The sequence below is a fragment of the Homo sapiens genome, chromosome 14 (assembly GCF_000001405.40).
Source record: "Homo sapiens chromosome 14, GRCh38.p14 Primary Assembly".
Taxonomy (NCBI): Eukaryota; Metazoa; Chordata; class Mammalia; order Primates; family Hominidae; genus Homo; species Homo sapiens.
In genome coordinates, this window is record NC_000014.9 from 95437369 (window position 1) to 95451029 (window position 13661).

The following is a 13661-nucleotide window of genomic DNA, read 5'->3' on the forward strand; positions in this document are numbered from 1 at the left end:
GACCCGGGAGTCTTGGTTCCACTGCGCATGCTGTCTTCCCTGTCCTCTGAGCCTGGGCCTGCAGATGTGTCTTGGCCCCTCAAACTGGCACTCGAATTTCTCCCTCTGCTCTTCACACATACTGTCTCCTCTGTGGGGAACACACCTCTCTCCCTCCTCTCCTCACTGCCACTCAGCCGTGAAAATTCAGCTGAGATGTCTTATCTTCCAGGAGAGGCTTCCCGGTCCTGGACCTAGGAACTGCTGCAGGCTCCCATAGCCTCTGGCCTGTCTGCCAAGGTGCACCATGTTTTTTTTGTTTGTTTGTTTTTTGTTTTTTGTAAATCCTTATTTAACAGCCTGTGGATGCCACTCCCTTGCTTCTTTCTTTTCAACAAAGCTCAGTTTGTTTAAAGGCAGTAAGGGAAAGTGATGGGTAAAACAATGTAGTTAGTTCTTTTTTTTTTCTTTTATAAAATATAGTCATGGCACAAAAATAGACCCATCTTGTATGATTTTAGTTTCCATTCTGGGGCCAGCAGGAAGTGTTCGGCCCCGATGCTCTCTCCCTTGCAGGTGCTACTGCTAGTGGCTCACAGAGGTGAGTATCTCCCGGGCCCAGCAGCATGGGCCTATCCCGAGAGCTTGTTAGAAATGCAGAATCGAATTGTGGGCCCTAGCCAGATCTACTAACTCAGAGTCTGCATTTTATCTTATTTCATTATTTTTTGTTGATTGATTGATTGATTGAAATGGGGTCTTGCTTTGTCACCAGGCTGGAGTGCAGTGGCACAATCACAGCTCCCTGCAGCCTCAAACTCCTGGGCTCAAGTGATCCTCCCACCTCAGGCCCCTGAGTAGCTGGAACTACAGGAGCACACCACCATGTCCAGTTAATTTTTAAATATTTTTTATAGAAATGGGGTCTTGCTATCTTGCCCAGGCTTGTCTCAAACTCCTGACCTCAAGCAATCCTCCTGCCTTGGCCTCCCAGCCTCCCAAAGTTCTGAGATTGTAGGTGTAGCTCACCATACCCAGCCCAGAACCTGCATTTTAATACAAGGCTGTGTGCCCACTGAAAAGCTCTATGCCGGATTCCAAATTCTCTGAGGGTCAGAAGCGTTACTCACGGCTGTATCCTAGCTCTGAGCACAGTTCTTGGAACAAAGTAGCACTCAGCAAATGGAGGAGTGGATGAAAGAATGAATGGGAAAATGAATAATTTGATGTATTTGAATAACAAGGAATAACTTTCTTTTCCACAAAGCTCAAGTTTGTTTAGAGGCAGTAAGGGATGGATGAAACATGGCAGAAAAGTTTTCCCATCTTGTATGGTTTCGGTTTCCAATCTGGGGCCAGCAGGAAGCTTTCAGCCCCGACACTCTCTTCCCTGCAGGAGCTGCTGCTAGTGGCTCACAGAGGTGAGTATCTGACTGGCTAAGGGATACCCCTACTGCCCTGGTGGCCTGGCTCTGCAGACTCTGGGATCTCTGAGGTCCTCTGTGGAGTAGGATCAAATGCTCTTTGGCCACAGCTGGGGCAGGCTCAAATGAGACAGGACGTGGCCAAGTCCTCAGAGCAGAGCATGTTGCCCCAGACAGGGAGGGGCCTGTGCTGGAGACCCCTACCCACCTCTTGACCTGGGGCCTGGCCCCTTCTCCCACAGCCCTGCTAGACAGACTCACGCGTCGACGATGCCTGGGAATAGGATCCATGGGATTGATGAGAAATCCTGACTTTGGGATGTTGTTGGTGAAAACCATTTTCTTCCCCGAATCCACTTCCATCCTCTGCAGATGCCAGTTTCTGATGAGGCTGAGAAGACAAACTCAGCCCAGTCAATGCAGAGATGTGGTGGGGACCCACCAGGACATGGGAAAAGTAATAGAATTGGGGAACCACGGGTCACGAGTCAGTGCCCCCCACTGAAGTTTGTGAGAATGTTCCTGAGGCATGCTCACATCCGGTTTCTGACTTTAAACTCAGAGTAACCTGTCATGAACGTGCGTACGCCCATAGATGCAGATGGGGAAACTGAGGCTCAAGCCAGTATAGACTGGAGGCTAACTCCCAAGACGGGGACATTTCCTGGCTCCTCCTGCTCCTGCTAGAATAGCCAACTGGGCCAAAGTGTGAAGGTGCCCACGGCCCCTGGCTCCACACTGGGCAGCACCCTGGCCCTCTGCTCCACGAGCACCTGAGTGTCCCTGAGTGAGAAGGGGCAGTGTCCCAGACAACGCTCAGAGCCTAGGAGGCACTCTCACCTCAGCAGACTTTCTTCCAGCAGCCTCAAGGCCCGCCACGACTCTGCCAGCTCCCTGAGCTCCTCCTGCACCACGGCAGCACCCTCCGGAGAAGACTTCTCCATCACCAGCCAGCCCTGCGCTTCCACCAGGGACAGCTGGGCCTCCTTCTCCGGGAATTCTGCCACCAGCCTCTAAAGGACACACGGACACACAGACACACACACGGTGAGGGTGGAGGGAGGTTTCTGCTCCTTGGTGTGGGAACGTTGGCCTGTCAAGGCTGCTTCTTTGGGAAGTGGGTGAGGGAACCACCGCCTTACCTCAAACTCGGCCTCTTGGGACTCGGCATCCCCCGGGCCCGCCTCTCCCCGGTGTGCCTCCAGCTTTTGCGTGGTCACAACGATCCACTGCCGCAGCTCCAGCAGCTGGTGGCTGAAGGTGCAGTGCTCCTGCACACTCTGCCGACACCTGTCCACAAGGTCCTGCAGCACAGCCCGGGGAGCCCAGGGCATCCTGAGTGCTGGCCGAGGGGGAGACCCCCGCACCACCCCCACCCTGCAGGGCTCTCACACCCGCTGGGGACCCCAGGGCTCCCCACCAAGTAGCACCACAAGAGGCTGGGCTGGCCCTTCCCTCCACACAGCACAAGGAATTTACCCTTGGAAGATCAAATCTGGTTTAAAGCCTATCTTACTTTTAGGAAAACGACCAAGTCTAGGTGAGGGTGGGGGAAATTGGATCTCCTGTCCACCACTGATCCAAGTGTAAATTGGCTCAACCACTTGTGGAAACCACGGGTCAGAATCTACCCAAATGGAACGTGGCTGTAGCTGATGGCCCAGCCATTCCACTCCCGGTGTATGTCCCAGAAATGGGAACATATCCTCACCCAAGGTCATACATGTGACAGCCCCAAGTTGGAAACTATCCAAGTGCCCATCAAGAGTAGAATGAATAAATACACGGTGGTATATTCACACAATGGAATGTTTTACAGCAGCAAGAATGAACAGTCTATAACCACATGCAATACAGCAGATGAATTTACAACCATCATCTGGAGAGCTAAAGGCCAGGCACAAAAGAAAACATTCTGTCCAATTCAATTTAAATGAAGGATAACATCAGGCAAGCCCAAGCTATGTTGCGGGAAGCATGAAGTCAGAGCCCCCCTTGAGGGTCGGGAATGGTGAGCTGGGCATGACCGCAGGCACAGAGGCTTTGGGAGGCTGGTAATATTCTGTGTTTTAGTTGGGTGCTGGTAACACAGATGCATTTAATTTTTAAAAAAAGTAATCGAGCTGCACACTCAGATATTCACGTTCAGTCTTTCTTTGTTCTTTTTCCTGAGTACTGTTTCCTGGGCCAATCTATTGTTCAGCTCTCTGTCACCAGGAAAGGTGGACACTGTCCCCAGAAGGGCAGCCATTCTCTATGCCTCTGGCCACCCAGCCTGAGACCCTTGGAGCTTTCTTTACATAGCCTGCCATGAACCAGTCAGACCCCAGGGCCTGCCGTTCCCATTCCAGCTGTGTTCCTTGAATAAGGTCATCATGACTCTCTGCAGGGCTACCATAGGCCCTGCCTTCTACATTCCACAGACACTGACTGAGATCGCTGGATACCAGGCCCATACCAGGGGCTGGGGAGACTGCTGCCTCTGTCCTCAGTGAGCCATCAATGAGGGCCTGAGAAGTTATCTAAAACTCCACTTCTCTGAGTTGTCCCTACCACTGTCCCCTCCTGGTCCCTGTGTGCCAACATTAGACCAGACGCCTCCAAGGGCTTCCCGTACATAGAGCTGTGATCTCCAACATCAGATACCTGCCCCCCAGGGGGACACAGAGACTGCCTCGCTGTGGGGAAGGACATATTAGATTAACAAGCACTGGGTACCAAAATAATAAAAGGGCAATTTCTCTTTAAAGAAGAATATAAACAATCAATAAGAATTGGAATATCATCATTTTGCAACACCGAGTGATGCTCAGTTAACGCTGCTTCTCGTAACGACTAATCTAGCCCATCATTTGGATGGAGGTATTAGGAGACTTTTGCTGCTTCTACGGGTTTCTATGGGCTCCTGAGGAGTGAGGACAGTGTGTCCTATTTCTCTACTGCCTCGACCTTGAAACTACTAACTGCTAGTTTATTGAATGTAATTAAATGAATTCAACCAGACATTAATCGTCACTTACACCAATGGGGCTCCACAGGTGATGCCTTATGTCCTGGAAACTGGTGGGGAGGGTTTGCAGTTGCTGCGATAGAGGTGGTGAGGGTGATACTAGGTGGAGTGAGAGGGATGGGTGCTCGCATTCCACCCTGGGGTGGATAGTCCACAAATGCAGAATTTGCCCACATCCCACACGATTTTCTCATGTCCTCCTAATATCTACAGCAGTAAAAAACCTGCTTGGCATGACCTGAGCTCAGACTGTCACTCCAATCAACACACAAACACAAGGAAGATTTTGCAGTTTTAACAAACATACTGACTTCTCTAGAGCTGCACCCTTTGTGTAAGTGGATGGAAGACTGCTCTTGGGTTTGATCAAAGTGCTATCAAGCGTTGTTCCCATTTCAGAAAACCACATCACTAGAGGCCGTGATGGTTGTGCCACCTGACACAGCATTTGCGGCTGTCACACAGGGAGGGCACGTTCTGACCACCTCCTTATGTCTTGAGTGTGGCCATCTGGGAGTACTTACATATTGGACAATATTGTATTATAATTACTTTCCTTTGATTTCTCTTTTCTATTTCCTGGGTGGGTATATTCCCTATGAATTTCAGGAGTGTAAAGAGGAGGTTAGGAATGTTTGGTATGAAATAGGGCGTGCAATGTCAGGTAGGAGGGAGAGCTCTCACTGCCTCACTGGGTTTTCTTGAGGTGTGAGCACCAGAGACCCTGCTTTATACTCCTCAGGGCTTGTTACAACGGCAGACCCAGGACTCCATCTGAATCAGTGTCACAGTGGGGCCTGGAGTCTGCATTTCCACTTGTCCTCAGGCCAGTTTTGAAGGAGCTTTGAGTTCCATCCCTACTGCTGGAAGGGGACTGAATCCTGGACAAACCCTAGAAAGAGCTGAGGTGGCCACTAGAGGGCACTGGCGATGAAGCTCTGTGGCCTCCAGGCCTTGTGCAGGCTGCAAGGGACCCGAGGCCGCCTGTGTTCTGGGCTGCCTAAGGATCTCAGCAGCCTGCTCTCTTCTTTTGCCGCTTGGCCCTAATCTCAATATGTAATTGTGCATTGGCTTGTTTGCTTGATGATTAATTGTCCATCTACCCAACTGGGGCGTAACTCCCAGGAGAGCAGGGGCCTGGGCTGTCATGCTCTGCTACCTCCATCCTTAGGGCCACCTAGAACACTGCCTGGCATATGGGAGGTGCTCAATAATTGTCTGTTGTATGAATGAGGAAGGGAAGAAAACAGGGAGAAAGAAAAAAGAGAGGTTAGAAGGAATGAAGGCAGGAAAGGGGAAGAAAGGCCCCAGGCGTGTTGGATGACAGGGGCCGGCTCTCTGTCAAAGCACAGGCCCTTCTGCCAGCCCCTTACCTCCAGAGACCTCTGCAGGGCCTGGAAGTCGGAGGAAAGCTGGTCCATTTTGTGCTGGTGGTTGGGGTTCTCCTGGACCAGAGGCCTTGCAGCCTCCATCTGTGCCCCCAAGTCCAGCCCCTCTTCCTGCAGCCCCTGCAGTAGAGAAGGGAACAGGTAGGCTAATCTTCCCACCTCTCCCTCCCTTGGGGTGGCCGATCAGGGCAGAGCCTCTGAGTGGGAGAGCCTGGGAGGGGTGAATTCCCCAAGGCGGTGGGGCTCTTTCATACCAGCGGAAGTACCAACCACATGGCTGGTCTGATGGGCCCACTCTCAGGGCTGGAGAGATTTTAAAAATCAGACAAAAATATTCTGGGACACCATGAAAATAAACTCTGCTACAAGACAGATGGCATCTCTGGGGACAAACTCACATTGGGACTCATACTTGATGACCACCTCTCATTATGAGGAAACACGTCCCAATTTTAGTTTTAAAACCCAAAATGCACTATTTTTTTTCTTTTTTTGGAGACAGAGTCTCACTCTGTCGCCCAGGCTGGAGCACAGTGGCACAATGTGGGCTCACTGCAACCTCTGCCTCCTGGGTTCAAGTGATTCTGGTGCCTCGGCCTCCCAAGTAGCTGGGGTTACAGATTCCCGCCACCACGCCTGGCTAAATTTTTTGCTTTTTTAAAAAAAATTTTTTATTTTAAGTAGAGACAGGGTTTCACCATGTTGCCCAGGCTGATCTCAAAATCCTAAAGTCAGGCAATCTGCTCACCTCCCAAAGTGCTGGGATTACAGGCGTGAGCCACCGCTCCCGGCCTAAAATGCACTATTTTTAATGTCTTCTAGAGAACACTCTCAATTTATGTATGAGCTGTGCTTGGGTTTTAAAGAGAGAACTATTGTATCACGCGCATTTTAAAAAACCATCAAGTTCCTTATCCAGCCAACAATGATCAACGGTCAGCCTACTTACAGTCCACGTTTCAGAACATTTATTCTTAATCCCAAAGTTGGTTTAACTGAACACCTCTGGACTCATTAAGAATACTTAGCAAAGCAATTCTAAAAACAAATACCAATGTTAGACTTTGGAACTGAGGAGTAAACAGAAAGACAGTTTGTCATTTTGCTGAGCTCAAGACTCAGTTGTTTGAGGTCAGGAACCATCAGATAAATAAGCAGAGGTTCTGTTGAGGTGAAAGGTCAGATCTCAACTAAGGGTCTAAATTTCTGGCTCACGGCAGCTGTTGCTTTGCTGGTTACTGCTAGAGGGAGACGCTGCTTCCAGGTGCAGCTGAGCACCTGGGCAGGAGTGATTCAGGCCTCACAGACCCCTCACCTGCAACCTTGAGAGCTGGGCCTGTTTTCCAGGAAGGTCCCGCTGAAGCCCCTTCTCGGCTTGGACCCTGACCTGGAGGTCCAAGAGCTTCCTCTGCAGGGGCTCAAAAGCTGCTCCAAAGTCTTTGTGCTGAGCGAGCAGGCTCTGCAGAGACACAGGACAGTGTGCACATTAAGAGCGTTCCTCATGAGCACCGTGTTGTGAGACCCGACCCGTTCAGCCAGGCTGCTCTTCGTCTCGGCCAGCTCATGCTCATTCAGGCGCCACCCCCTCCAGGAAGCCTTCCCTGAGCCCTGATGGAGTTGGGTGCCTCTCCTTAGGGTCACTACAGCGTCCTCACAGAACACTTTGGCCACATCCCTCCAGAACTGGGGCAAGCTACACCCCTCCACCCACCGACCAAATCCCACCAGAGGCCTGTTTTTGTAAATAAAGTTTTATAGGAACCCAGCCATGCCCATACATTTATAGCTGCAGTGGTGGTGCTGAGGAGCTGCGACAGCGACTGCCTGCCCTGCAGACTCTAAAACCTTCACTGTCTGGCCCTTCACAGAAACAGTCTGCCAACCCTTGCTGTAAAACAGCACTTTGATGTCTTCTAGTAATTGCCTACTTATTTGTGTCTACCAGCAAAAGCTGTGAGTGTTTGAGGGTGAAGACCTTGGCTTCCTTTCTTCATCCCCCCAGCTCCTAGAACTGCACCAGGCCCTGTGGATGGAGGGAACATGCACGGGAGCTGAAATCATGGGCTGGGTCCTGGCTGTACCCCATATGGACCATGAGCCACCTTCTTGACCATTCTGCTTCAGTGTCCTCGTGTGTAAAACGAGAAAAATAACAGTACCTCCCTCATAGTGCTCTTATGTGGATTAGATAAGATCAAGGATCTGGAGCTCTTAGCAATGCCCTGGCCCATAGCCAGTGCCCCATAGATCATAGTTATTATTGTCATCATCATTAGATGCTCAGCAAACATTTGTTACCTAAAAGAATAAGCTGTCCACAACATGCCATGCCATGTCATTGATGTAGTGTAGTCATTTTGAAATGTGTCACTAATATGAGCTTCCAGCTCCAGGGTGGTTTAAATTTTACAAGGACTTTTATCACCATTTTCTTATTTGACCCTCCTGTCACTCTCTGCAGAAGACTGGACTGGATTCAATTTGATTGCAGGGGGTTTGGGGACAGGGCTGGGAGGCAGACAGGTGGTGGCTAGGAAACCAGTTAGAGGGACCATGCAAGAATCCTACCCAGTTTACACATGAGGAGGCTGAGATGGTCAGGGACAAAGGGATACACCCAGGGCCACACAGTGGCAAGCGGCAGAGCTGAGTTTAGAACATAAGGCCATCTGCCTCCCCAGTGGGTGCTCCAGCCCCGTGGCCAAGCCAAGTCCCGAGCAGATGCCTGGTGCTGCACACCTGCAGTTTGCTTTTCCTCTGCAGGAGGCTGTTATGCAGCAGGTCTCTGTCCCTCATGGAACCTGCCACCTGCTCCAGGAGTGCCGTGGCTCTCTCCTGGCCAAAGATGCCAATCAGGAGGTCTTTCTTCAGCTGCAGCATCGTCAGCAGCTCTTTCAGGCGGGAGCTTTCCATCAGGGCTGCCTGTGGGAGACAAGGCTTCCGTGAACCACAGACCGGGCAGGACACAGCTCAGAAACAGAGCCAGGGGCACAACTGTTCTGGCTGCAACTGCTTAGGAAGCTCACCTTTGTGCAGGTGTCTGAGGAAGCAGCAAACTCAAGTAGAAACAAAATGAGCTGGCAGGAATGCGCTGGCAAGGCCCTGAGTTTCGGGGTCAACTTTGATTCCTCTCTCCCCTCCCACATCTGTCTTGATACTCAAGCCTGAGTAATATCCACCTCCTACAGGCCTCAAAAGTCTGTCTCCTCTCCATGGCCTCTGCCCCGACTGCAGTGCACCCTCAGCCTTGGGCACCTGGACCACACAGCTCCTGAATGGCTGCTGCCTCCCAGTTAGTTGGCTCCCCACCACTGGCCCACCACATTGCTGCAGAACCTAGACCCAGCCAGCTTGATCCTCTACTCAGTGATCCCCCGTCACCAACAACAGTGGACACACCCCCCAGCGCTATCTGCAACAGTGTTTTGGACATTTTGAAGGGAGCTACAGGCCTGTAGGAGCATGTTCAGAGAGAATTCAGGAAGGCTTCCCAGAGGAGGTGATACTCAGCAGACTACTGATGTGCAGGAGTTTGCCAGGCAAAGAGGAGAACTAAGGGGGCTCAGAGGCCTCCTACAATGGCAGCAGGCTGCCATATAGCCCGAACTCTGCGCAGCCCAGGCCCTACCTCCTCCAGGAAGCCTTCCCTGACCCCATTCCCAGCCTACAATCACTCTTCTTGCCCCCAAAGCCCTGCAACTCTTAGAGCCTGAACCAAGCCTCCGACTCCTGTTGCCTCTCCAGCTGTTTCAGGTAAGCACCTCTTGCATTTCTAATCGAGAGTCTGGGGTTCTGGAAGCCACAGGTTTTGTCTTCGCCCAGAGTTCTTTCATTTTATACCTGATGATGTTGCTGAGAACCCACTCTCAGACTTAAAACACTGAGCTAGGCACGGGGTTGGGAGAGAAAGAACAAAGATTCCAACCCAGGTAAGTCACTTCAATACAAGACAGAAAGTGGTCATTCTTTTTTTTTTTTTTTTGAGCTGGAGTCTCACTCTGTTGCCCAGGCTGGAGTGCAGTGGCACGATCTCAGCTCACTGCAAGCTTCACCTCCTGGGTTCACGCCATTCTCCTGCCTCAGCCTCCCGAGTAGCTGGGACTACAGGCGCCCACCACCACACCCGGCTAATTTTTTTGTATTTTTTTAGTAGAGACGGGGTTTCACTGTGTTAGCCAGGATGGTCTCGATCTCCTGACCTCGTGATCCGCCCACCTCGGCCTCCCAAAGTGCTGGGATTACAGGCGTGAGCCACCGTGCCCAGCCAAGAAAGTGGTCATTCTTTAAGCAAAGCTGGAGCTAGTGCCGTGGGAGTTCAAGGCAGAGGTGGACACTCCTGGTTGGGGAAATCGAGTACTACTTTGAAGAAGGCAGTACTGAAGACAGGCCTTGAAGGGCAGGTGTTTCTGGAAGAGGCAGTGTAACCACAGCTGATACAGCTGTACTGGCATGACCTGCACACCAGGGCATCTAGCTTGTGTTCAGTCACACAGAGGTCAAGCCTCTCACTGTAGGGGAGTCAGTCACCTTTACCCCCTTTTCACCAAGCTCAGACACAATATCATGGGAGTTAAGAGTTTAGGCTGGGGACTTGAGATCATGAGTCTGGATTATGTACTAGTTGGGAAGCTATGGGCAGATCTGAGCCTCAGTTTCCTCTTTTGTCAAATAGGTTCCCTGGCTCTGATCCCTCATCTGCAAAATAAGAAAGATCATAGTAGAAATGGAAATAAAACTACCTGTGCATAGATATTCAAAATATGTGAATTATGACAATAAAAAATCAGAAACAACCTAAGCCTTTAATTGTGGATACACCGAATTATGTCACACTCCAGAACAGAATATGATCCAGCCATTGAAAATGATCACTTTTATTTGAATGATTTTAAATGATGCTGAGAACAAAAGCTCAAATGTGTGGAGTGAGAATATCAGAATATACAATTATAGAACTTGATCCCAAATACATAAAAATTGTAATTAAATCTTCTGTCTCTTGGTGACCATATCTCATGGAAATATCTAAATGGATTTAATCAGATATAAAGGACAGATTTGGGATCTTCTGATCTAAAATTGAGTTTTGTGACACATATGAAATTCACTCCAGGATGCCCTGAGGAGTACCTAGAAAAGATGGCCCACCATCCTTTGGAGCATAGGGCTGGGAGAAGGGGCCCACTGGACCCTTGGAAAGAAAGGCCATGCCCTGCAGCTTAAAAACTATTAAGAGAGGTCTGGTGCAGTGGCTCTTGTCTAATCCTAGCACTTTGGGAGGCCGGGGCAGGCAGCTCACTTGAGGTCAGGAGCTCGAGACCGGCCTGGTCAACATGATGAAACCCCGTCTCTACTGAAAATACAAAAAATTAGCCAGGCATGGTGGTGCATGCCTGTAATCCCAGCTACTTGGGAGGCTGAGGCAGGAGAATCTCTTGAACCCGGGAGGCGGAGGTTGCAGTGAGCTGAGATCGCGCCACTGCACTCCAGCCTGGGTGATAGAGCAAGACTTCGTCTCCAAACAAAAAGCCACGAAGAGAGAAAACAAATTATTGTCCCAATGTAAGCCCCAAGCGGAAAATCACAAGGGTAGACGTTTCAAAATGCAGGCACATGGCCAAGTAGTGTACCCAAGGGTGAGCAGGGGCCAACCCTGGTTATTGGTTCTCCTCGGTCATACCAAGGTGGCAGAAAAGGGGATGGAGAAATTGCCCCAACATGTTCATCCCTGTGGCTTGTGGGATAATGGGAGCTTTTTGTTTTCTTCTTCACACACCTTTACACTCTCCAAGTAGGTGTGCCTTTTATAATCAGAATGATTATACATCTCACACACGTTTGAGTCTTTTCCCACTCTTTGTGTCTAAGAATCTCTAGACACAAAATCATTTTATGGACTTCAGAGTTCAATGATGCCAGAGACAGTATGTACAGGCACACTGGGGACACCACAGTGACGGGCATCATGAAAGATGTTGTCTTCTGCTCATCCCACAGCCATACCTCCTTCTCTCTTCCCAAACAACCAGCATTTTGGGATGCAAAGTGCTCAGTTCCGAGGCACTGAGTCTAATTGGTACAAAGCAGTTACGGTAATCCCATCATCCTTGCCGATGATTGGGCCAGGAATAATCAATCATATGACCTTGACCAACCAATGAGATGTGAGGGGAGTGTGCGGGTGTCAGGGGAAGATTTGAAAGGCGGAAGTAGAGGTGGAGAGAGCCCTGTGCATCCGCGGCTCCATCCGGAGCCAGTTGTTGTTCATGGGAGATGCACGTTTGGAGCCGGAGCAGCCATGCTGGGGCCATGAGGCGAGACCTGGCTTAGAACTACAAAGGGCTTGGTCCTGGTGACACCACTGAGCTGTGGCCTGGCACCCTGGACTGCCTGAATGTCGCTGTTTTAAGATACCGCAGGTCAGGTCAGGTTTCTTGCCACTTGGAGCTGCAGTAAAGGCAATGGCCTGAGAACGCTGCTCTCTCAGGAGTGCTAATGCCTCCACCTGGGAGATGCTTGCGGGTGGGGAGCGTCCGTACGGAGCCCCGGGTTAACCCCCAGGAGCCGAGCTGACCTTTGTCAGTGTAACAAGCAAGCATGGACGCTCCCTGTGCACCAGGACTCAGCAGACCGGGCGCAGTGAGCTCTCCCCAGATATCCGGAGGACCCGGAAACGGACCTTCCCCTGGGAGAGAGACTGAAACACCATGCCCCGCCAGTGGCCCACCCCAGCCCCACCCAGTTGGCAGGACCACGGTTACCTCGATCTGGGGCAGGAAGGTGTGAAGGGAAGGCAGGTCCGGCAGGCTGGCAGTGACCTCCAAGAGCCGCTGGGCCAGGGCCTTCCACAGCTGCAGATCCTGCAGAGGCCGCTGGAAATGCTGCCACAGCTCCACCGCCGCGGCATTGCGCAGCCTCGCGCTCTTCACCTTCAGGCTGCAAGGAGCGTGGAGGGAGAAAATGAGGGAGGAGAGAGAGTGGGTTCAGTCCAGGGATGAGGCCTCCGCCAAGACCCTCAAGAGGCCCAGCATGCACTGCTCCCAGGGTGGGCCTTCTCCTGTTTCAGTTGCTGGGAATGTCTGCAGCAGTAGACAGAAGATGTAGCTGGAAGGGACTTTGATTAATATCACTATGAAAAGGCATCAGCAGCAGGCCTGGGGTCTTCCTGAGGACAGACACTGGGGCTCCTTGGGACCTGTAGTCTCATATAATTTACATTCATGGGCAGGATACGGTGGCTCACACCTGTAGTCCCAGCACTTTGGGAGGCCAAAGCAGGAGGATCACTTGAGGCCAGGAGTACGAGACCAGCCTGGGCAACATAGCAAGACCCCATCCCCCCCAAAAAAATTTAAAAATTAGCCAGGCATCATAGTGCATGCCTGTAGTCCTAGCTACTCGGGAGGCTGAGGTAGGAGGATTGCTTGAGCCCAGGAGTTCGAGGTTGCAGTGAGCTGTGATTGCACCACTGCACTCCAACCTAGGTGACAGAGCGACACCTGTCTCCAAAATAAATACATAAATAAATAAAAGGCACGAGTGTTCTCTGATTCTATAGTAGGTATAAAGAGCTGGGAGTTTGGAGCCAGACAGGCCAGCTATATGACCTTAAGTGGCTCAATATTAACAAGCCTCAGTTTTCTCACCTATGAAATAGGCAACACAGTGCTCCTCTCATATAATCATTCTAAGTGTTAGATGAGATGACACATGGAGACATTATTCTTCCAGTAACGGAAAAATAATTCATTCAGACTGGCCCTCCCACTGAGTACAAAAACAAAAGATGAAAAAATTGCTTGATCAAAGTTTTAAAAAACAAATAATAGAAATGTGAGTCTAACCAACTTTGACCCTGAG

General features: G+C 50.6%; 1 protein-coding gene across 6 annotated transcripts in view, besides 1 other annotated feature; it reads right to left on the minus strand.

Annotated features, from left to right (window-relative positions):
• SYNE3 (spectrin repeat containing nuclear envelope family member 3) overlaps window positions 1-13661 on the minus strand; it is a 109385-nt gene that overhangs the window by 30103 nt on the left and 65621 nt on the right. For 2 of the 6 annotated variants that reach the window (NM_001363692.2, NM_152592.6), the window contains exons 8-14: window positions 12563-12737; window positions 8541-8723; window positions 7117-7260; window positions 5787-5921; window positions 2546-2707; window positions 2244-2416; window positions 1665-1794 (exon numbers count right to left, since the gene is read on the minus strand). In NM_001363692.2, coding sequence (NP_001350621.1) covers window positions 1665-1794; window positions 2244-2416; window positions 2546-2707; window positions 5787-5921; window positions 7117-7260; window positions 8541-8723; window positions 12563-12737 — 1102 coding nt within the window. Of the gene's footprint in view, window positions 1-1664; window positions 1795-2243; window positions 2417-2545; window positions 2708-5786; window positions 5922-6746; window positions 7261-8540; window positions 8724-10659; window positions 12249-12562; window positions 12738-13661 lie in introns of those variants that run through there. The other 4 variants (NM_001384281.1, NM_001384282.1, NM_001384284.1 and 1 more) reach the window with 2 other exon arrangements.
• Window positions 1189-2388: an enhancer, noted in NCBI's record as "BRD4-independent group 4 enhancer chr14:95904894-95906093 (GRCh37/hg19 assembly coordinates)". NCBI's record gives its function as "activates an origin of replication core promoter dependent on BRD2, P300/CBP, MED14 and CDK7 cofactors, and independent of BRD4, by STARR-seq in HCT116 cells {active_cell/tissue: HCT116}" and the evidence as "EXISTENCE:reporter gene assay evidence [ECO:0000049][PMID:35650434]".